Source organism: Homo sapiens, chromosome 7, assembly GCF_000001405.40.
Source record: "Homo sapiens chromosome 7, GRCh38.p14 Primary Assembly".
NCBI classification, from domain to species: domain Eukaryota; kingdom Metazoa; phylum Chordata; class Mammalia; order Primates; family Hominidae; genus Homo; species Homo sapiens.
Genome location: NC_000007.14, coordinates 106847175 through 106869610, shown reverse-complemented (window position 1 = coordinate 106869610; position 22436 = coordinate 106847175). Strand labels below are relative to the sequence as shown.

Genomic DNA, 22436 nt, shown 5'->3' with positions numbered 1-22436 from the left:
TGCAAATCAATTCCTTTTGAGAAGGCTTCCATTGATAACACCAACATCCCCTACCTGGACCAATTGTAGAAGGTAATGCAGAACATCATCGTCCTCCAAGCTCTCCAGTTTCTGAACTGCAATGGCTCTTACATTTTCATCTGAGAAGTTGCAGTCCAGGAGCTGCATTGTTAACCCAACATCCAAAGCACTTTGATCCCAGACTTCCCTTCTGGCCAACAATTGGTATGTTTTGGCCACAATTTCTTGCTGTCCCCATTTCACTGAACTAAATAGCTTAGGATATGCTTTTGGGTGCTTAAGGCTTTCGTATCTAAAATGCCAGAGCAATTCTTTGTCCTCTGCTGTGAGAGGGTTAAGTGGATCAGTGGCTATGATCGCCTCCAATTGCTTGCGAAGCTGGTTGGGCATTTCTGCTCGAACCCGGTCCCCTTCCGGGTCAGGGGTGGGCTGATGCTTAGGCAGGGCTATCGGGTGGCAGTAATTGTCCAGAAGAATGGAGATGGACATTGAGTTCTCCTTGTCTGGGTTAGTTGCAGACGTGAGTTTGTCAGCATTGAAGCTTCCTTGGTCTTCTCCCTTCCCAGATATCTGCCACATGTGGAGGACGTATTCTCCACGGCGCAGGAGGAAACGGTGGTCTATCAGCAGCAGGTTCACATAATAGAGAAGCTGAACTTTGCCCTTGGACTCAGAACTGGGGGACTCTGCAGAGGCCTTGCTGGACAGTGCTGGAGCTTTACCGCAGTAGATCTGGAGGTTCAGTAGAGCCCCTTTGGGCAAGTCTTTGATTTTGATACTGAACTCAAGCCACACATTCCACAGCACCTCCTCTGTGAAGGGTTTGGGGCTGGTTCTCCTTTGGCAAAGGACTTGTTGCCCATGCTGGATGTTTGCCTCTACAAAAACTGTGAGGTCGGTGTTCCGAGGCAGGACGGGGATATCAATGCCTCTGATCTTGACCCTGAACTTGCGGTCGCAGTCCCACAGGGACACGGTGAACACACTCTCGTGGTCCTTGCCGTGGATGGTAAGCTGCTCATGGTAGCCGGTGACTCCCGTGCAGTCATCCACCAGTGGCCACTCTTCCTTCCTCACCTCGTCTAGGGCCGGGTCTGGAGGCGTGTCCAGTACCACGTGAATCTCTTCTCCGTTCTTGAGGCAGTGCCTCACCCACTGGAAGTTTTTGATGGGCGTTTCGCCCACCAGGTACTCATCCCGGCCACAGACGCGCAGCACAAAATCCTGTTCGCTTTGGCTTTCGGGAATATCCATCAGAGATTTCTTCTTGGCCATCTTGGTGAAGAAGCTCTGCAGGATGGCGCCGGGGGTGTCGTCGGGTGAGACCTTAATGGTCTGGCTGGTGGTGCTGCGGTGAATGACGATGAAGATGCAGTTGTTGGCAATCTTCTTCCACAGGTACTCCGGGAGGGGCTTGGACGTCACCCACGGGTGCATGGCGTAGAGCTTGGGGTCGCGGCTGGCCACCTCCGCCATGCGCGGGGTCACCAAGCCACGGCGCGTGAACTCCAGCTCATCGTCGTGCACGTTGCTGACGTCAGTGACGTCATAGCCAATCAGCGCCGTGAGCTGCCGCTGGAAGGCTTGGGACTCCTCGGAGGGCGGGTGCCGCTGCACCAGGTGGATCTGGCCCGGGCTCCGGTGCGTGGCCTTCCAGTAGCGCAGGCAGTCCAGAGTCTGCACCACCTGGTACTTGTCGTAGATCTCGTACCACTGCCCCTTCTTCTGATAGAGCAGGAGGAAGTGATGCGGTCCCAGCCGGTGGTAGAAGTCCGCCGCCACGCTGGTCTCCAGCGCTCGCAGCCACACCTGGGCCTTCATCTGCTCCACGTTGCCGTGGCCGGCCACGTGCAGCAGCGCCGTTTCGGGGCTCTTGCATTTGCGCTGGCTGGTGGGCAGCACGAACTCGATGGGGATGAGCTCCATGGAGGACAGGCTGGCCGCAGCACTGCGCGGCTTCATCCTCCGGCGCCTTCGGCAGTTGTCCTCTCTCAGCACCACGGGCTGTTTATAGTTCTCCAGCTCCATGCCCTATGCGACCTGGGAGCGGAGGGACACAGGGATTTGTCACAAGAAAGGCACTTTCCCCTTATATTTTCTGGTGAGATGAGGGAAGAGGAGGTATAGGCGGCGTACATGTGCACAGGGACCCAGAGGGACCAAGTATTTTAAACTGGAAGCACTACAGCCCTTCAGAGCGTGGGCTTTGGAGTCGGGCCGGTGAGTCCTGGCCCAGCCACTTACTTTCTGGGTGATTTGGGCTGCTTAATCTCTGAGCCTGTTTCTCATCTCTCAAACTGGTTAGTAATGAATGCCCCAGAGGGAGAGTTAAATAAAGTAATACTTGTTCAATATGGGTGACAGGTATATGGGGGCTTATTGGTCGTTCTACTTTTGTATACTTTGAAAATTTTAAAGAGGTAGGTAAAACACTCATCCAGCACAGCGCATGACACATTATAATGGCTCAGAATGGACATTGTTCTTAAACATACTGAAACATATAGATTACTAAAATAGTACAGTTAAGGTTCAAGTCCCAGTTTACAAGGTGCAACACGAGATGCCAAAAAATCTCACTTTGAAAACAGGCCTTTAACTTACTTCCTCTTTGTTAAGTCTCACACTTCTTGGAACCCAGACACCTCACCCAGCCTTGCTTCACGTTGCCTGTTTTCAAACTGCCTGGACCTAGGATCTACTCCCTAATAAATTTCCTGCCTCTTGGTTTCATTTTTTCTTTCTAATTAGGAAAGCAAGTCATTTCATTTGTAAAGCTAAAACATATCGGAATTAGTAAAGTTACAGTCAAAACCATTTGCAGATATGTAAAATTTTGAATCATGGAATTTGTCAGCATTCTGGCTGTCACTGCTATATTAGGGCAGTATCTTAGAAGAGTCACCCAAGGCTGTACTCTCCCAATAGGAACATTTAGGTAATTTTAACATTGTTTAATTAATTAATTAAAATTCATTTGATCTGTCTCTACTTAATAATGGAGGAGCTACAGGATGGAAGGCAGGATTTCTGGACTCCAGTGACCTTCTGTTAAGACCCCCAATCATTTAACTTCTTTTTTGCTCTAATATTTTCATTTTTGTAACACAAATTCACAAATTTATTCTCATTAACCTACTCACTCTTTCCACAAAATTCAGTAAGTACCTACCCTTCACAAAGCACTTATGTATAAATAGGACATACTGCAATAGGAAATCCTTCAAATAATAATTGAAATTTGAAAGGTATTAACACTGAAAGATTAGGTATTTTGCTTTCAATGTTTAGTATCACTACATTGTAATACATTATATTCTAAACGAATCAATTATTGAAACAAAAAATTAATGTTTCAGAAAATATCGTTTACTCTCTTAAATAACTAATGTTAGACTTAAAACTACATTATTTCCTTAAGAAATAGTGGAGCATTTGATGTATACCAAAAAGGAGAGCTTGATAAGAAGATAAGAAAGACAAATTTCATTTGATCCAAACTTATGTTCAAATCTTGGCTTAACTTTTAAAACCAATATTCCCTCTCTTAAAATATGAAGTTATACTTAGTAAGTGAAACCAACTGTCCCAAAGAACTGTCTCTTGTGGCTTAAAACATTCATTTTGGTCTTTTGCTACATTATAGAATAACTAACAAAGAAGAGAACTGTAAGATACATTGATATTGACACTAACTTGAAATAAAACATGTCCAAATTTAGGCAGCATATAAATACACAGCAATAACTTCTGCCTCAGTGATACCAAACGATCTTATAAGATGCAGAGGAAAACAGGCTGACTAATACTCACTGGTTTCCTTCATGGTTGAGGCTATGAAGCTTTCCCCTTTTATGAGAAGATGTTGGAAACACTGTAAGTACAGTAATCTTGAAGCATGCACTTGTAGGAATATGAAGCCTGGCTGCCGTGCCCTCCCTTTTCCTCCCAAAACAAAAACAAAAATGTGATGCACCTGCAAAACTATTGCCGGAACGTTGTAGATATCCACAATACAGGTTGGACTAGACAATGAAACACAGACATTCGGTGGTAGTATCATCTCAAGAACCGACAACAGTTTCAGATAATCTAGCCGAGAAGGAAGTGCCACTATTCCGAGTCAGACCCCACAAAGAGCAAAAAATAGAAGGAAGCAATACCTGATAAAGCAGCGGAGGCGATGATGCTGAAGGATCATTTGTTTAATTTTTGAAAACAAAACAAATTCAAACCTACCCAGTGTGCGTCTAAATTCTTCCGCTTTTCTGGGGCTCCCTTCATATCCAGATGCAGAGGAAGTGTTGCAGTTACCAGGAAGGAAGTTTTAACCAAGTTGATTATACGTGTGATTGCTCATTTTAAAAGTGTCAGAAATGCATTTCCTGTTTTAGCATAGAGAGGGTAGGAGTATGAGACTGAGCAATGTTTACCATGGTTTTTCTTTTCTTTTTTTTTTCTCTTTGAACTAATTTTTCAAAAATTGTGATACTGAGACAAAATGACATAAATCCAAACCAAAATTACCCATTATGAGACATAAACATATGAAATATCTTTGTAGCTAGTTCTAAGAGCCACAGTATTAGGTATCCTATTAGGAAGACTTTTACCAGTCAAATTAAACTCATTCCCCTCCTGGGAATTCAAAAGAATCCTTGTTCGCACATGCTAACTGAGGGGTGGGGGAAGAGAAACCTAGTCATCTTGAGGACTAAGTTATCAAGCTGAAAATTTTTAAAGGCATGGTCTGCAAGCTCACTTCCTTAGCTTGGTGAGAGCTTTCTCTATTTTTTCAGAGCATTTGGGGCCTAAAATATCACTGGCTCAAACTGAAAGCACTGCAGCATGTGCATGTGTGTATATAAATGTGACATACTGCAGTAAGTAACCCTTCAAATAATGGTTGAAATGCTAAAAGTATTAAAATTGAAAGATGAATAAAAAGGTATTTTGATTTTAATACTAAGTACCACTACATTGTAACACATTATATTCCAAACAAGGATCAACTATTGAAACAAAAATTAATGCTTCAGAAAATATCCTGTGTTGAGGATGGAGCCTTACTGTCAGCAATGACTGATTAATTAACTGTAGACAAAACAGAAGGAGGTTGCCTGTTATCATGGGGAAATTGGGGAGCTGAACACTGTTACAGCATCAGGCAGATTCCATCCTGGGAGGTGGCCCCTGATTCCTATGGGAGTAGAGAATGCATAGAAAAGCCATCCTGAATCATTTTTAGAGTAGCGTTGTATCTTCCAGGTGACCTCAGTTCTTTCTAGAACCTCCAAGCATCCTGAACCAGCGCCCCCTCCCTCCATCTCAGAATTCCCTATGCTAGAGTTCATCCTCCAATCGGGGTGTTGAGGGACTCCAGCTGAGCTTCAAGGGCAGCAGATAGAATGGAGTTGACCTCACAAGTCTCTTGGAGGTATGTAATTAAGAGTTCCTCTGAATTACTCTGATATTGAGATAAATGATTGATTTGACTTATTTCCTTTTACATATGCCTCTTGGGTTTTAACTTTTAAATAGCACTCTAATAGTTGACATCAGCAGGCAAATAATTTAATTCAAAGGCTGCCTCCCAAATATTTAGAGGGGTCTTATCAGCTTCTCAAAGTATATTCCTATATAGGAATACTCCCTTAGGAGGCTGGCAGCTTTAGAAGCACCAAGGCTAGCTTTCTTGGTTGGTCCTGAGGGAAGATCAACACACTGTAGCCACCAAGCCATGATGTGAGAGCTTGCCAAGCTGTGTTTTACCCAGAGTGTGTGGGAGGGTTCCTGGGGGTGGGTGGAGTGGGAGGAGGTTTGAGGGTGGGAGGGCTGACCTCAGAGGGACCATGAGCTTGGCCAGCCCTGTTCCCCAGACCATTCAATAGATCCCTTCCCTGTCCTGGCTCAGTCACTTCCAGGGGGCCAAGTCCCAATCTGGCACTGCACATACACACACACATGCCACATTATTCCAGAAACACGAGACTCAGCCTCTTGGCCCTGCCTGCTTCTGAAGGAACTATTAAGCTAAGTTTGATTAGGCAAAGGATTTTCTGTTTTATGACTAAACTGGCAAATATGTCAGGTTTATTGGTGGCTTGAGATTAAAAGTACCCTGCTCTTCCCCAAATCTTAATATAGCCACTAAAATTTGACTATCTGTAGTAAATGTTCCCAGTAAGAAGTAATGGCAAAGATTTCCTTCCTCTGTGGATACTTCCTCCGTGTAGAGGCATCCTTTACGAGTAAGAATATTTTATATCCCCAGAATATTTAGAAGACCTTCAGTCCTCATTAATATCCCATTTTAATAATATTTTTCCCTTCTGTGAATCTGTGGACACAGAAATCATTTTGGTTGGGAAAAAAAACACAATCAAAGGCTCTGACCTTCTATATCATATCAGTGGTCACAGCAATGACAAGATAGAACAGTTTAGAAAATAAGAACACAGTAGGAAGTATCAGTGATCAATAGACATTAAAAATTATTTGTTTTGAGGAAGGCTCTTTCCAACAGCCTTCAGAGAGATTATTTATGGTCTACTTGGAGAGACAGAACATGCAGAGGAAAGAATAACATGTGCAATGCGTTAGCATATGCAGTCCAAGCGGTTTAATTGTGTGATGTAACTTTCATTATGCAAGCCAACAGTTTACTGGAGGAGTTCACTTTGGGTGAGATTTGAAAATTTTTGTTTTAAATGTGCAGGGGAAGGTCCAGGATTCAAGGCAAGAGGAATCACAGGGGCAAGTCCTCAAGCCAGAAGGCATCTGTGGGACAGTGAACAGATCAGTTCACTGAAATGGAGAGTCTGAGAAAGATAGCAGTGTGAGAGACAGGGAGAGACATGGCCAGACAAGTGTGTGCTTCCCATACGTATTTCATGTGTTGCCACATGTAAATAGTGGTGACATGTGTATGGCACACTGGGGTGAACTGAGGAAGCTCCTCAAAGCGTGAGACAACGGGTGCATCCCCAAGGACCTCACCGCTTTGGGCATACTGGCTGGGAACTCTGTTATTGGTTATTTACTGTTGGAGTAGCTATGTCACTCAGACTCGAGGGAATCTTTCATCTTGAAAAAACATGATCATCTTGTCATATTTTTTTTTAGCTCAGCTTCAGATGATTTATACATTGTGATAAAAATGCAAAAAGGCATTTTAATCTAATCTGACAGTTTAGTTCACCTTCATACCTTGCTTTGTTGTCCGAGCACAAAGGCAAACCTTTATGAAGCTGTGCCTGATATTTTTTGGTCTGTATTTGGTAAGATTTAAGAGAAGCATCCTGGTATTGTAGAAACACACACATTCATGAGACCTAGGTTTATTTCTGCACATTCTTTAGGCCTCATATATGCCCCTTCATTTCTTTTGGCTTCCTAATCTACCAAATGATAACAACCACCCTACATATTTCACAGGAAGTTGTTATAAATCTTCAGTTTTCAATGGAACAAAAACTTATCTCACCGTACTATGTAAGATATTATGTTAGATGACTCTAGAAGGTACAGAATTCCAGGTGTCAAACACCAACACGACACACAGAGGAAGAAGAGTCCATGCCATCTTGTGTGTTTCTTTTTCAGAGAGAGGAAGACTTTCCCAAAGGTCTTCTGGGTCCCCTTATGTCTCTGGCCAGAATTGTGGCAAGGGCGCATTGATACCTCAGCCAATCAATAGGAAAGGGGATAGAATTATGTGAATGGTTTAAGCTAATCAGAATTTGTCCCCTGAGTTCTGGCTGGCTAGAGAGTGGTGGACACCAGAACCAAATGTCAGGGCTCTGACTGTAAGGACAAATGGGATTAGGGAGGATTGTAGGAGACTGTACCACAGTCTTGATGCCATTAGGAATGTAGGCTATTATTATGCCATGTGGGTGGAGGGGAGCCACTTCAGGTTCTGAGAAAAGAAGCTATGGGAAATCAGTCACAGTCAACACAACTCCATGGACCTACAGCCAGATCTAGGTCCCTATGGGACCTTCCACTTTGTTCTCCATTCTTAGTATCAGAAACTGACCATTGAGCACATTTTTCTGTTTCCTTGTTTAGTTAAACTTTGACAATACATAGTAGTAAGCACTTCACAAATTTCTGGAAAAGATTTTTCTATAAATTGGTTTTTAAAAATCCAAAATCTTTGCGTGATACTTTATTTTTATTTTATTTTTTATTTTTGAGACAGAGTCTAGCTCTGTCTCCCAGGCTGGAGTGCGGTGGTGTGATCTCAACTCACTGTAACCTCCACTTGCCAGGTTCAAGTGATTCTCCTGCCTCAGCCTCCCGAGTAGCTGGGATTATAGGCATGCGCCACCATGCCCAACTAATTTTTGTATTTTTAGTATAGACTGGGTTTCACCACATTGGCCAGCCTGGTCTTGAACTTCTGACCTCAAGTTATCCACCTGCCACAGCCTCCAAAAGTGCTGAGATTACAGGTGTGAGCCACCACACCTGGCCTGCATAATACTTTAGACCTTTTATGATTTATCCCTTATGAACTATCCTTAACTCTTTCTTCCAGATTCTCCTCTTCCAATTCCCTTCCATGATTGAATTCCACCAATTTCTGCTTTCATACCTTCTGTGTTCCACCACACCTCTGTGCCTCTGTGTGCCACTCCCTATGTCCTATTCCCTCCCCTCATTCTCTCTCCTCTCCCTCCCCCTTCTCTCATCCCCTCAGCCATTTGACCAGCTCCTGCTTCATTGGTATTCAGAGTGAGTAACCTCCACTGAGAGGGCTTTCTGGTCAGGAAAGCATAGGGTTAGGGAAGCTTTCTCCCAATAGTAACCACCACAATAACAATATCACCACCAATAAGTGGAAGCTCTTCTTTAGGGAAGGGTCTCACTCTGTTGCTCAGGCTGGAGTACAGTAGTGCAATCTCAGCTCACTGCAGGCTTGACCTCCCGGGCTCAAGTGATCCTCCCATCTCAGCCTCTCAAGTAGCTGGAACTACAGGTGTGAGCCTCCATACCCGGCTAATTTTTTGTATATTTACTAGAGATGAGATATTGCCATGTTGCCCTGGCTGGTCTGGAACGCCTGGGTTCAAGTGATCTGCCTGCCTTGGCCTCCCAAAGTGTTGAGATTACAGGCGTGAACCACTGTGCCTGGCTCACAAACTCTTTTATGGCACTTTCTTTGAGTCTTACGTTGATCTAAGAACTTTAGTACATTCATTCATTTAATCCTCACATCCTTCCAAGGGGAGAGGCACTACTATTGTCTCCACTTACAGGTGCTAAAAGCAAGGCACAGAGAAGTTGAGTGGCTTGCCCTTGGTGCCACAGGTGGTAAGTGGCAGTCATCATAGCACTTCTCCTGGGTGAGGACAGCTGGTGACTGGGCTGCCTCCTCTACCCGACTGGGTTCTTTGAGTGACTGCTCTGTATTGACTCGCTGTATTCCCCAGAGCTTAATACAGTGCTTGCCACATACAAAGCCAAGGCCTTGATAAATGTTGGTGGAATGGTTAGTTTGTATAGAGTCTCTCTTTTTGGAAGCCATTGGATTCCTTTGTATTTACAGGAAGCAATGGGAGTACTGAGTGATATTCGCAAAGCCTCCCAGACTAACCAAAACCCAGACAGCCCCTCCCTTCCATGTAACCATGTAACGTAAAACTCTCCAATCTGCCTCCTCTTCAAACCTTGCAATGTGAAACTTGGGAGGAAAATGGTCTGTAGGGTGTGGAACTTAGGAGGGAACCTAGTTTGACATTATAAGAAACCACAATCCTTTAGAAACATCTCCTTTATAGCTCTTATTTGGTCCAATTTAGTAGTTTTCTTTGTTGTTCCATTCCTAATATTGACTGAAGTATAAGACCAAAGACCGTTGGTACCGTGTCCTGTGAGCCAGAAATCCTCCCATGGAATGGATATCCAGACCCATCCCTGAGTCCCTGCCTTCAGAATTACCTGCTTGCTGCTAAGGAATTTTATCTACCTACCTATGCACCTATCTAGTCACCTACCTAACTGTCTCATCCACGTCTCACACACACACCATGATCCTGACAGAGACAAAGCTGATTGCAATAAGGGAGTAGTTTCCGAACCAAATCTGTTTCCTTCCTTCATAGGATTTTCCCTGTTCAAGAGCATAGCAGAGGGTCCTAGGAGAGAGGAAGAATGAGTAGACCAGCTTAGTTGGAGTCTGCTCTCAAATCCCTGGCCCTGAGGCTGGAAGGGAGATTATAATAGGAGCTGCTTCTCAGGCCTTCTTAGGGAACATTGTTCCTTCCAAAGCCCTGGGTTCTCAGCTTTGAGTCTGGCAGGAGTCACATCCAGCTGGAAGGAAGCCAAGAGGGTGCCCCACCTCTCCAGGTTCAGAAAAAGGTCACAGGAGCAAAGCAGGCTTGGGCTGGGAAGTGGGTGTTGGGGCTGGCCGGGAGCCAAGTGCTTTTCTGGTCCCCAGGAGGGTGAGCCGGGTCACTGTGAGGCCACGGCCCTGCACCTCCTTCTTCTTCTTTTCAAGCAAAAATCAACTTTATTCCAGTGGCCTCTGTACTGCTTTCTTCTCTGATGGGTAGACAAGGACCTTGCGGGCCACGGGCACTAGCTCCTGCAGGGACCTGGGGCGGGACAGGAAGGGATCTCTACCTGCCTTGCTCTATACCTAGGAGGAATATTTTTGCCTTCAAAGCTTGGCCTGCATTTTCTGGAATTACCCATCATGTGTGTCTGTTGAATCAAGTGAGAATTTTCTGCAGATTGGGAAATGCCTTGCAGGGTGTGTCTCAGTGAGGGCTCGAGTTCCCCCGGGTGTGCCCCTCTGCTGCCATAGCGGTTCTCATTTTCTTTTCAAATAGATGCCTTGGCAGTCTCCATTCCTCCAGCCTTTTTCATTCTCTCCTCCTCCCCTCTTGCCTCCTTTTCTTTTAAAATAGTATGTACAACCTGAAAGGGAGGAGCTTCTGGGTTGCTGGTAGTTTCTTGATGCGGTGCCGGCCTAGCTTATGATCAGTTTGTGGAAGTTCATGAAGCTTGGCACATACAAAGCTTGTGCACTCAATGATCACTTTTCTGTATGTGAATGTCAAAAATTAATTTTACCTGAAGATTTAAGCTACTTTCCATACTTTCATACTTTTCTTTTTTTTTTTTGGAGACAGGTTCTCACTGTGTCTCCCAGGCTAGAGTGCAGTGATGCAAACAGGGCTTATTGAAGCCTCCATCTCCCTGGCTCAAGCAGTTTCTCCCACCTCAGCCTCCCAAGTAGCTGGGACTAGAGGTGGTGCACCACCATGCCTGGCTAATTTTTAAATTTGTCATAGAAATGGGTCTCGCTGTGTTGCCCAGGCTGGTCTCGAACTGCTGGCCTCAAGCAATCCTCCAGCCTTGGCCTCCCAAAGTGCTGGGATTACAGGCATAAGCCACTGTACCTGGCCATACTTTCTTAAACAATTAAGAGTGTTCCTCGCCCACCCCACCCTCCTTTTCCTGCTACATTCTTGCAGACTCCTTTCCATGTGAACCTTGATGTTTCAAGTGGAGCCTAGTTTGGAATTGTTGGGTTTGCCTCTCATAAGCTCTGCCCTTGGCATAGTGGCTCCATCTTTATATTAGCTGGGGGCCACGGGTAATTCAGACTCATTTGGAGGGAAAGGGGTCTTCCATTCAAGCTGATGTTGTGGCATTCCATTCAATTATTCATTGACTTATGCAATAAATGAATGCCATGAGTGCATTGTGTTCATGCATTCATTAAGCATTTGTTATTGAATATCTTATATAATGGCACATGGAGTTTCTGTGTGCATGGAACTTGAAACCTAGCAGGGCAGAGAAGATATGCACCTGTCATCATCACAAAGCATGGCATGTAAGAAGTGTCCTCCGGGCTGTACAGGGAAAGGGCTGCAGGAGTCACAGCAGGATGCTGCCCTTTCCAACTGAGCCTTCCAGCAGAAAGGCCGCAGTAGAAGTGGCAGGGAGAACAGCGCAATTCAGCTAGGCAGGGGTGAGGGGAAAGAGCATTCCAGAGAGGGAATAGTGTAAGGCAGCCAAAGTTCAGAAGAGTGAAATTCATTCACTTAAGTAGCCTTGAATGGGAGAGGAGGCCCAAGGAGGGTGGGCTCTGGTCAAGCCATGGTGTTCCTGAGAAGGCCATGGCAAGAAACATGGCCTTCATTTGTAGACATTGGTAAATAATTACGAAGAACTAAATTGAACAGGGTGGAAGTGGGAGTAGGTGAGGGGATGCAGTACATCTCTAAAGACCCCCTGCTTTCTTTTTAAAATCATGGCTTTATTCAAGTATACTTAACATTCCACCCCCACCCCTGCCAGTTTTAATCTTTGACATAGTTCTCTGAGACAAATGAAATAGTCTTAACATATTCATTATGTTATGCTAACTGTGCTGATCGCTGTAACAAAATCTCAGTGGCATATTTCTTTTTCACCCTATAGTCCCATGCAGGTTGGATGGAGAGGAGCTGTTCTAATCATTCATTCTGGACCTGCCTCCTTCTAGTTGGTGGTTCTGATTTTCCCTTGGGCCTTGAGTTCTCCATTCGGTCTGAGAATGGCTCACATTTTTGTGCCCATTTTCCGTTGGCCAGAACTCTGTCACCATGACCCATCTAACCATGGGATTGGCTGGGAAATACAGCCTATCTATGTGACTAGAGGGAAAAGAAAATAGGTTTGGCAAACCCATAGCATTATGTTTGCCAAGAAAATACTATACATAATAGAACTTTATGAATATGATAAAATTTAAGTACTATCCTACATCTAATTTCACGTGTTATGAATTCTATCATGAGACACTTAGAATTATAGCCTTCCACCATTAGACAATCATTGATGTCATGATTATATCTTGTCTCTATGTTGAGTGGAAGTGATAAGTAAAGGGTTTTACAAAACTAGAAACTGGCAGTCCTACCCTGTTGCCTTTTCCAAACTGTTCTATAACGATGCAGTTCTTCCTTCACTCGCCAGGAAATTCTGTTCTAATCAGACGGTGCACATAACATGAAGAGAGATTAATAGGTAGCTACGGGATTACATTGTTAGAACTTGTCATTGTCAAGGCTAACCCCAGAAATTTTTTTTCTTTTTCTTTTCTTTTTTTTTTGAGACAGAGTCTTGTTCTGTCGCCCAGGTTGGAGTGCAGTGGTGCCATCTTGGCTCACTGCAACCTCCTCCTCCCAGGTTCAAGCGATTCTCAGATCTTAGACTCCCAAGTAGCTGGGACTACAGGTGCCTGCCACCACGCCTGGCTAATTTTTGTATTTTTAGTAGAGACAAGGTTTCACCATGTTAGCCAAGCTGGTCTCGAACTCCTTACCTCAAGTGAGCTGCCCGCTTCAGCCTCCCAAAGAGCTGGGATTATAGCTACGAGCCACCGCGCCCAGGCGCCAGAAACTTTAAATTCACACTTTTGAAGTGTTTTGTCAATTTATTCTTCTACCCCATCACTATGAAAGTTTACCATAATAAAAGTTTATTTTTGTGAACTTTAAAAATGAAACTATTTTTTGTAATAGGTTTATATGTACTGTCAGCAGGGAGGGAGACTGGTGGAAGGTCTGTGTGATGTAGTCATTTGGAGACTGGGATGACAGGGGCTCTGCTTTCTTCAACACGTGGCTTTCAAGAAAGCCTCAGGCATCAATACCAGGCCAGAAGATGAGAGTGGAGGATGGTGCAGGAGGTTTAGGGCTGGGTCTAACAATGGGAAATGCCGCTTCCATCAACATTTCATTGACTATTGTGAGAATGGGGGTCAGAGAAATACAGCTCCTGTTTCAGTTCAGCAGTGACTCTACCTATGGTGGGGGTGGGGATGGGGTGGAGACAGAGGGCCGGTCTTTGGTGAATAACTAGTCATCTCTGCCACAGCCAGGCTACCAACTTCTCTTTTTTTTTTTTTGAGATGGAGTTTAGCTCTTGTCACCCAGGCTGGAGTGCAATGGCATGATCTCGGCTCACTGCAACCTCCTTCTCCCAGGTTCAAGAGATTCTCCTGCCTCAACCTCCCGAGTAGCTGCGATTATAGGCACCCCTTCCCATGCCCGGCTAATTTTTGTATTTTTAGTAGAGACAGGGTTTCACCGTGTTGGCCAGGCTGATCTTGAACTCCTGACCTCAGGTGATCCACCCTCCTTGGCCTCCCAAAGTGTTGGGATTACAGGCGTGAGCCACTGCGCCTGAACCCAACTTCTGTTCTTAAAAAAACTTACATGTAGTACCCTGACTCTGCCTAAATTAGATGTACTAGACTTACTGCTTTTATGAAAAAGAAAGGAAACTTTGCTTTAATATGATAGTTCTAAAATAATTCAATGTTTGTTGTTGGTGATATGATAATATAAATTTGTTGGATTGATAATATGAGTCCCAGACGGGAACAGTGTGGATTATTACATGGTGCCAAGGTCCAAAGGAAATGAAAACCAAAGGCAAGTGTGGTAGTCAGTAGGGCCGGTCATGCGTACTCCAATTCTCCTCCTGCAAGATGGCAGGAGGTACGACTGTATTCTCCCACCCTTTGAAATTAGGGGTAATGATGTGATTTACTTTGACCAATGAAATGTGAGAAGAAATTTGTCACAATTTGCCATGTTTCCTTCCCTCTGCTGTGGAGACCTTGGAAGCACTTGTGATGGAACCGTGTCTACCTGACTCCTGAGAGACTGGGGTCAGTAGAACCCCCAGCTGACCCATGTTGGACATTTATGTGGGCAAGAAATACAACTTTGGTGCGTCAAGCTGTTGAAATCTTGGGATTGTTTGTAACCATAGTCCAATTTAATATGTTCTGATTGATACAAAAGATTATTCTTGAAAAAATAGACTGACATAATATTTTGGATCAGATTTTTATAAGGTTAAATTTCACTTGATAGGATTTGAAATGTAAGGATTTCTTGGGGGTGGAAATTTAGTTGAAATCAACTTGAAGTGATATAAAAAATTCTATTCATTAAATGTGATACTTAATTTAAAAATGCTTCAAAAGTGTGATATTATAAACTCCTTTATTATACAAATACCAGAGAGACAACTAATAATTTATGTAACGTTTAAGGTACAAAATTATAGAAAAATATTAGCAAATTTCTTTTATCAGCAGCTTTTAAATGAGATATAATTTTCAGGGTTTTAGATGTGTTTTTTAGTAAAAGTAAATTATATTTAAATCTTTTTATCTTTCTTTATGAAACTGCTCCTCCTTTCCCACAGGGATTTTGTGTGGCTTTTCTTAGAACCTCCTCCTTCTTAATGGTATTGAAATAACCAGAATTAATACCAGATGATCCTATTTCTCCTTTTGTCTCCTCAGTTCTGTTTTGAAAATTCTGTGATTACTGTATTTAAATTGCAGTATCAGTGCCAAATTGCTAACAGTGCCAAGATTCACTGTGGATACCTTATATTCTTTGCCCCCTGTATGCCTCAAAATGAATAAAGATGATGACAATACTAAACCGTGTATATACACCTTAATGTGAGATAATGGGTTATGAGTCTATTTCACAGTACAGAATGAAGTTCAAAGCTTGGTAGGAAACAGGGTGGGGTATACTAATGGTTCACAAATGCCAGTTTATGTCCTGGCTACATCAAAACCCTCTGGGAAACTTGTTAAAAACACAGATTCCTAGGTTTCCCTCCAATTTCCCTGAATCAAAACATCCAGAGAAAGGAGTTGGGGATCTGTATTCTTAACAGTCTCTCTCGGTAATTCTGCTGGGCAGAGGGTCTGCCTCAGCAAAGGGCATAGAGGGCCATTCAGAGGACAGCACGTGGAGCAGAGTGCCCTCCTTGTCTTCCATCCGCCATGAGGATATGTGTGTACTTCACTCTGTGCACAGAAGCCACCTTGAGATGGTGGTGGTGACACTGTTTGAGAAGGGAGAAAAAGTTCTGATAGGGAGTTTCAACTTTTTGTTTTGGTTTGAGACAGAGTCTCGCTCTGTCACCCAGGTTGGAGTGCAGTGGTGTGATCTCGACTCACTGCAACCTCTGCCTCCCAGGTTCAAGTGATTCTTGTGCCTTAGCCTCCCAAGTAGCTGGGATTACAGGTGTGTGCCACCATGCCTGGCTCTTTTTGGTGTGTGTGTGTATTTTTAGTAGACACAGGATTTCGCCATATTGGCCAGGCTGGTCTTGAACTTCTGGCCTTAAGTGATCTGCCTGCCTGGGGCTCCCAAAGTGTTGGGATTACAGGCGTGAGCCGCCACACCCGGCCAGGAGTTTGAACTTTGACTTAGCTAAATATTTACCTCCAAAGAGACCATTTCAAAATTGGTAACACTGAGGTACTTTTAAATGGAAAGTTTAATTTTTTCCTGTTGGTGGGAATGAAGGCCCTGAAAGAAGATGAGATCAGGTATAGAAAATAGATGTGGTTTTTTCTTTGCGCAACAGAATCATGGTGTATATAACATCCCTCTATTCTGTAACTTATCATTTCTAAAATTTATTTGACATTAGGATGGTTTTTCAAGTAAAATTTATTGAAAATTCTGTGGAAACTACTGTTCCTTGGAATGTATTTTGGGAAGTGTTGCTCCAAATTATTTTGCTTCGTGTGTGTGTGTGTGTGTCTGTGTGTTCAATGTATATTTATACAATCTTGCAAAGCATTGTCATGCATAATTGGTGGCTTCCCCAAGTGGCAAACTCAAAGCACTATTAGATGGCTGATATGGGGGGTATGATGCCACATTGATTTGAAGATCTCAGCTCCTAAAACTGAGATATAAGAATGAACAAACATGGAATGGAAGGTTCAGTGTCTTAGTTTAAATTTCTTAAAAATGATGGATTCCAAAATTGAGATAATGATTTGAATGCAAGTCATTTATTTGGGAAATAATCCGAGGAAGCCTGGTGAAAGAATGAGATGGTGAGACAGAGAAGGGGGAAGTCAACAACAGATATATTGATGACCACTCTGGGCATGAGGACTCAATTCCTCTGGTATCCTCTAAGAAAACAGGTGAAACATGCCTCAGAACTGGCCTGTTGATGGAGAAGGAAGTTGATTATTTATTCTTCATTGGTTGGGGGTTGCTCCTGTGCACATTAATTCTTTGGCATTTCTGGTCTCTCCTAAGCTTGGGCTGAACATGCCACTGGGTAGCGAGATACAGGTGCTTAAGGTTAGAATCTTTTGGTATTTGTGGGTACTGTTTTCTGAAGACTTCTACATGGGGAGAGGGGGATATGAGAGGTTTATTGACAGCATCTGCCATACCCAGGTTAACGCTCATGTTTTAAGGTCACTGCTTCTGCTCCTATTGGCAAAAGCTACCTCTTATATTCTGGGGTTGTGTCATCAGCTGGAACTGCCTATTTTGGCACCAACTATATGATCAGTAGTAGCATGTAATACATTTTCAAAGGACTTGCCGTAGAAAAAATTCTGGGGACATCTTTTCATCTTACGTTACAAGAAACAAATGGTGTTTGATAAAAGCTGACCCATAAGTAACTTAAATTCTGAATATAGGATGAAATGTAGACAGGCATTTCATGTCCAAGTTAGTGCTTGAAAGTCCGTCAGATTAGAATCCATCACTGGTGATATCGTTTGGCTGTGTCCCCACCCAAATCTCATCTAGAATTGTAGCTCCCATAATTCCCACATGTTGTAGGAGGGACCTCGTAGGAGATAATTGAATCATGGGGGCAGTTTCTCTCATACTGTTCATGTGGTAGTGAATAAGTCTTATGAGATCTGATGGTTTTGTAAGGGGAAACCCCTTTCACTTCATCCTCTCTTGTCTGCCACCGTGTGAGACATGCCTTTTGCCTTCTGCCAAGTAAGACGCGCCTTTCGCCTGCCACCATGATTGCGAGGCCTTCCCAGCCACATGGAACTGTGAGTCCATGAAACCTCTTTTTCTTTATAAATTGCCCAGTCTTGGGTATGTCTTTATCAGCAGCATGAAAGTGGACTAATACAACTAGTGACCTGTGAAAATGGTCTCGGTCAAATCTAGTCCACCATGCTTAGGCAACCTGACAGGTCATCATGGTAACAAACCTGAAATTAAGTAGTTGACTTATTTTAGCAAACATTTATTGGGTCCTTATGTTTATAATAAAGAGCATACTGAAGGTGATTTTAAAAGTGGTATTACTGAACTTTGGAGCTGCTTGGAATTATGCAGCATGCATTATGAGCCTGTTTAATGTAATGGTTAGGAACATGGACTCAGGAACCATACTGCCTGGGTCCAAATCCTGGTTCCATTGCTTGCAAGCCTGCCTTGGACAAGTAACTTCACATTTCTGCCCCTTTGTTTATTCTATACAGTAGTACCTCCTTATCAAATTCTAAGGATTAAGTGAATGGATATATGTAAAGCTTGTAGAACAGAATCTCACACAGGGTAACCAATAAGCACATTTTAGCCATTAAGTAGCTCCATCTTGGTTTACAGATGAGGGGACTCCAGCCAAGAGATGCTTAGTGACCTCCTCAAGGTTACTCTGCCTTAAACTCATAGCAGAGTTTAGATTGGAACTCATGTCTTCTAATTTCTAGAGCAATTTGTTTTCATTACAAGTTGCTGAATGATGGCAGACAATCTCTACAGTTTAGATGTTTGTTATTATTTGAGAGACAAAGTCAATAATATTTTGAAAGCAATTTAAAAAGATTATAAATGTAGGATAAGGCTGGGTGTGGTGACTCATACCTGTAATTGCAGCACTTTGGGAGGCTGAGGCAGGTGGATTGCTTGAGCTAAGGAGTTTGAGACCAGCCTGGGCAACATGGCAAAATCCTGTCTCTACAAAGAACACAAAAATTAGCCTGGCATGGTGGCATGTGACTGTGGTCCCGGCTATTCAGGAGGGTGAGGTGGGAGGATTGCTTGAGCCCAGCTGGTTGAGGCTGCAGTGAGCCAAGGTTATGCCACTGTACTCAAGCCTGGGCAACAGAGTGAGACCCTGCCTCAAAAAAAATAAATAAAAAATAAACATAGTATAAAGTATCACGCAGAATCTATGAATGCTAAATGTAGAAGAAACTAAAAGTAATGTGTGGAAATCATCATGGCGTCAAATTATTATAGAATCTTCCTGAAAGAGAAGAGCCTTGAAGTTTATTTGGCTCTTGGCTCATGCTTTTAGCAAGCAATGGATTTGACTGGGAAGGTAACATGGGAAAGGAATGTGGATAAAACATTAATGCCTGAAGAGATGGGCTGGATTGTGGGGGTGCTGAGGTTATAAACTGGTGGCTTGAGGTAGGGTCTAGGCCCATGTATGTGTTTTGTTTGGCCTACACAGAGTTTCACAAAAATTTGAGTTGGCTATTTTATCAGTGAAGGTTCTTCAGAGGAACAAAACCAGTAGAATATGTATGTGTCTATATATGTATGTATATACGTGTGTGTGTATGTTTATATATGTACAGAAAGCATGCATATATACACATAGAGAATACATACATATACATGTGTGTGTATTTAGAGAGAGAGAGAGAAAGAATTATTTTTAAGGAATTGGTTCATGTGATTGTGAAAGCTGGCAAGTTTGAAATCTGTGGGGCAAATCAACCAGCTAGAAATTCAGATAGGATTTTTGTGTTACAGCCTTAAGTCAGAATTCTTTATTCCCTCTTCTCTGGAAACCTCAGTGTTCTGCTCTCAAGGCCTTTAACTGATTGGATGAGGCCTCTCCACATTATTGAGGATAATCTCCTTTGCTTAAAGTCAGCCAATTTTAGATGCTAACCACATCTACAGAATACCTTCACAGCAACATCTAGATCAGTGTTTGACTAAACAACTTGCCGCCATTGTCTAGGTGACACATACAATTCACCATCACGGTTACCAACATTTAAAAAAATCTCTAGATTTTAAAAGGAAGAGTCAGAATTCTAGCTTCTTTTGAAAAATGGAAGATCTGGCAACCCTGAAACTACAAGTCCTTTAGATGAGGAAGGGGCAATGGTGGGAGTGGGTAGGTTGGTTCCTTTGTGTACTTTAATATGAGTGGCTCTATTTTTCATCTGTTTTATGTTTTGTGCTGCTCAAGTGTTTGAAAACTACCCCTTAAGACTAGCATGGCCATTTTACAATGGAAGAAACCAAAGCCCAGCTTCTCAGCTTGGTTTTGTATGACCAGCTGTCTTAGTCCATTTTCTGCTGCTATAATAGAATGCTACAGACTGGGTAACTTATACAGGATAGTTTATTTGGCTTATGGTTCTGGAGGCTGGAAAGCCCAAGGGTGTGAGCACCTTTGTGCTGTGTCATTCCATGGCAGAAGTGCAAGTGAGTGTGAAAGACAGCAAGAGGATGGGGGATAAACATCCTTTCATAAGGAACTCACTCCTGAGATAACTAATCCCACAATAATTCGTTAATTCATTCATGAAGGCAGAGCCCTCATAACCTAATCACTTGTTAAAGATCCTACCTCTTATTGTCACAATTAAATTTTAACATGAGTTTTTGAGGGAGCATTCAAACCACAGCACTGTCAACAGAAAGCCTTTGAGCACTCTCCAACTGAGTAGTCATGCATTCCCAGAAAATTCTTATCTGGTGAGAAATAACTGAAGTGTTGAGAGACAGGGAGCCAGAGGATCAGTGCAGAAGCCATGCCATTATCCATGTGCAGCATCCATGTCCTAGACCAGATAGTGGCTCTGAAAATAGAGAAAGAAAATGAGTAATAACTGTACACAAGCTGAATATCAGTAAGTAAGGAATGGGCAAGGCAAAGAAATCTCTAAGGTGTCGAGCCTGTGGACTGGGAAAACAATGACACTTTTGGCAGAAATGGGAAAACTGGAAAGGGAGTCCATTTGAAGGGCCAACATCTTTAAAATCACTTATTTCATTGGGGCTTCCTTTTTTTAATAGTGAAATTACCTGAAACTGGATAAAATAATTTTTTTTAATAATTCACTTTTTTAAAAGCTATACTTCACTTTTATCCATCCTCCATTCCTTAAAACAAATCAATGTTTTACTTTGGCTCTGAGAATTTGCTGACAGCAAGTGCCAGGATAAACCTAGTGTCTGATAGGAATGACTGAAAATTTGGTAATCTTATAAATGTATAATTTTTACCTGTACTTTAGATTCTAAAAGATTTATATAAAGAATTTAGAATCTTAAAGCTTATAGATAAAAATGTACATTTTAAAAATGTAGCAAAATAAGCATAGGTAATATTAAATGAATTAAATTCTTATTAAAGAAAATGTGTGAAATAAATAATACACTTTTAACCTCTGTGATGAATTCTCTAGAAATAGCTTTAATTGGCTCCAATACAACTGCCTTTTTAATAGATGTAAATTAGCACCTTGCATAGTGTGCCCGAAGGTTAGCTATTCAATTTTAATATAATTTTCCCTTTAAGTTAATGCTCTCTTAATTGAACTAGTTTAGAAATGTCCTCAATCAGAATTAAACTCTGCACAATCTCATCCTTAGATAATCCTCAGTTATCCTCTCTCAGAATGCTTTGTTTATATATACCCTAAGTAAGAATACCCTCTTTAACTCCAATATGAAAGCATCCTCTGAACTGATCACTGACTTGAATGGGCTGCATCCTCACCAATACATTGTATATAATATCTTGTCTATAGCTATATGTGTTAGTGTTCTATACAACAACAACATTTAAAGAAGGTATAACTATGCGACCAATTAAAAGACTTTAGGAGAGCAGAGAAGTAGACAAGACAAGGATGAGTGTAGTAGAAAGACTGAAAAATGGAGACTGAATTTTAGGAGATAGCCACAATGGGGAGTTGAAGAAGGGAAATCTAGCCATACAGAGATAAAGAAGAACTACAGAGAGTCAGTCAGAGGAACCAAGAGAACCTTGCTGTCTTAGTCCATTAGGACTACAACAAAATACCATAAACTGGGTAGCTTTATTTATTTATTTATTTTGAGATGGAGTCTTGCACTGTTGCCCAGGCTGGAGTGCAGTGGTGCAATCTTGGCTCACTGCAATCTCCACCTTCCTGGATTCAAGAGATTATCCTGCCTCAGCCTCCCAAGTAGCTGGGATTACAGGCACCCGCCACTATGTCCGGCTAATTTTTTTTGTATTTTTAGTAGAGATGGGGTTTCACTATGTTGGCCAGGCTGGTCTCGAACTCCTGACCTCATGATCTGCCCACCTCGGCCTCCCAAAGTGCTGGGATTACAAGCATGAGCCACCGTGCCCAGCCTTATGTAATTTTTTTTAGAGACAAGGTCTTGCTTTGTCACCCAGGCTATAGTGCAGTGGAGTGATCATAGCTCACTGTAACCTTGACCTCCTGGACTCAGGTGATCCTCCCACCTCAGCCTCCCGAATAGCTGGGACTACAGGCATGGGCCACCAGCCCAGCTAATTTTTTGTATTTTTTAGTAGAGATGGGATTTTGCCATGTT

General features: G+C 42.8%; 1 protein-coding gene across 10 annotated transcripts in view, besides 2 other annotated features; it reads right to left on the bottom strand.

The window, feature by feature from the left end:
- Positions 1–4329, bottom strand: part of PIK3CG (phosphatidylinositol-4,5-bisphosphate 3-kinase catalytic subunit gamma) — a 43699-nt gene extending 39370 nt beyond the window's left edge. For 5 of the 10 annotated variants that reach the window (NM_001282426.2, XM_017012328.2, XM_011516316.2 and 2 more), the window contains exons 1-2: positions 4185–4329; positions 55–2061 (exon numbers count right to left, since the gene is read on the bottom strand). In NM_001282426.2, coding sequence (NP_001269355.1) covers positions 55–2049 — 1995 coding nt within the window. In that variant the 5' untranslated portion in view covers positions 2050–2061; positions 4185–4329. Of the gene's footprint in view, positions 1–54; positions 2062–3834; positions 4164–4184 lie in introns of those variants that run through there. The other 5 variants (XM_005250443.4, XM_047420480.1, NM_002649.3 and 2 more) reach the window with 3 other exon arrangements.
- Positions 4158–4257: an enhancer, noted in NCBI's record as "active region_26490". NCBI's record gives its function as "activates an Ori minimal core promoter by ATAC-STARR-seq in GM12878 lymphoblastoid cells {active_cell/tissue: GM12878}" and the evidence as "EXISTENCE:reporter gene assay evidence [ECO:0000049][PMID:35858748]".
- Positions 6753–7047: a silencer, noted in NCBI's record as "tiled region #12136; K562 Repressive DNase matched - State 5:Enh". NCBI's record gives its function as "represses a minimal TATA promoter and a strong SV40 promoter by Sharpr-MPRA in K562 cells {active_cell/tissue: K562}" and the evidence as "EXISTENCE:reporter gene assay evidence [ECO:0000049][PMID:27701403]".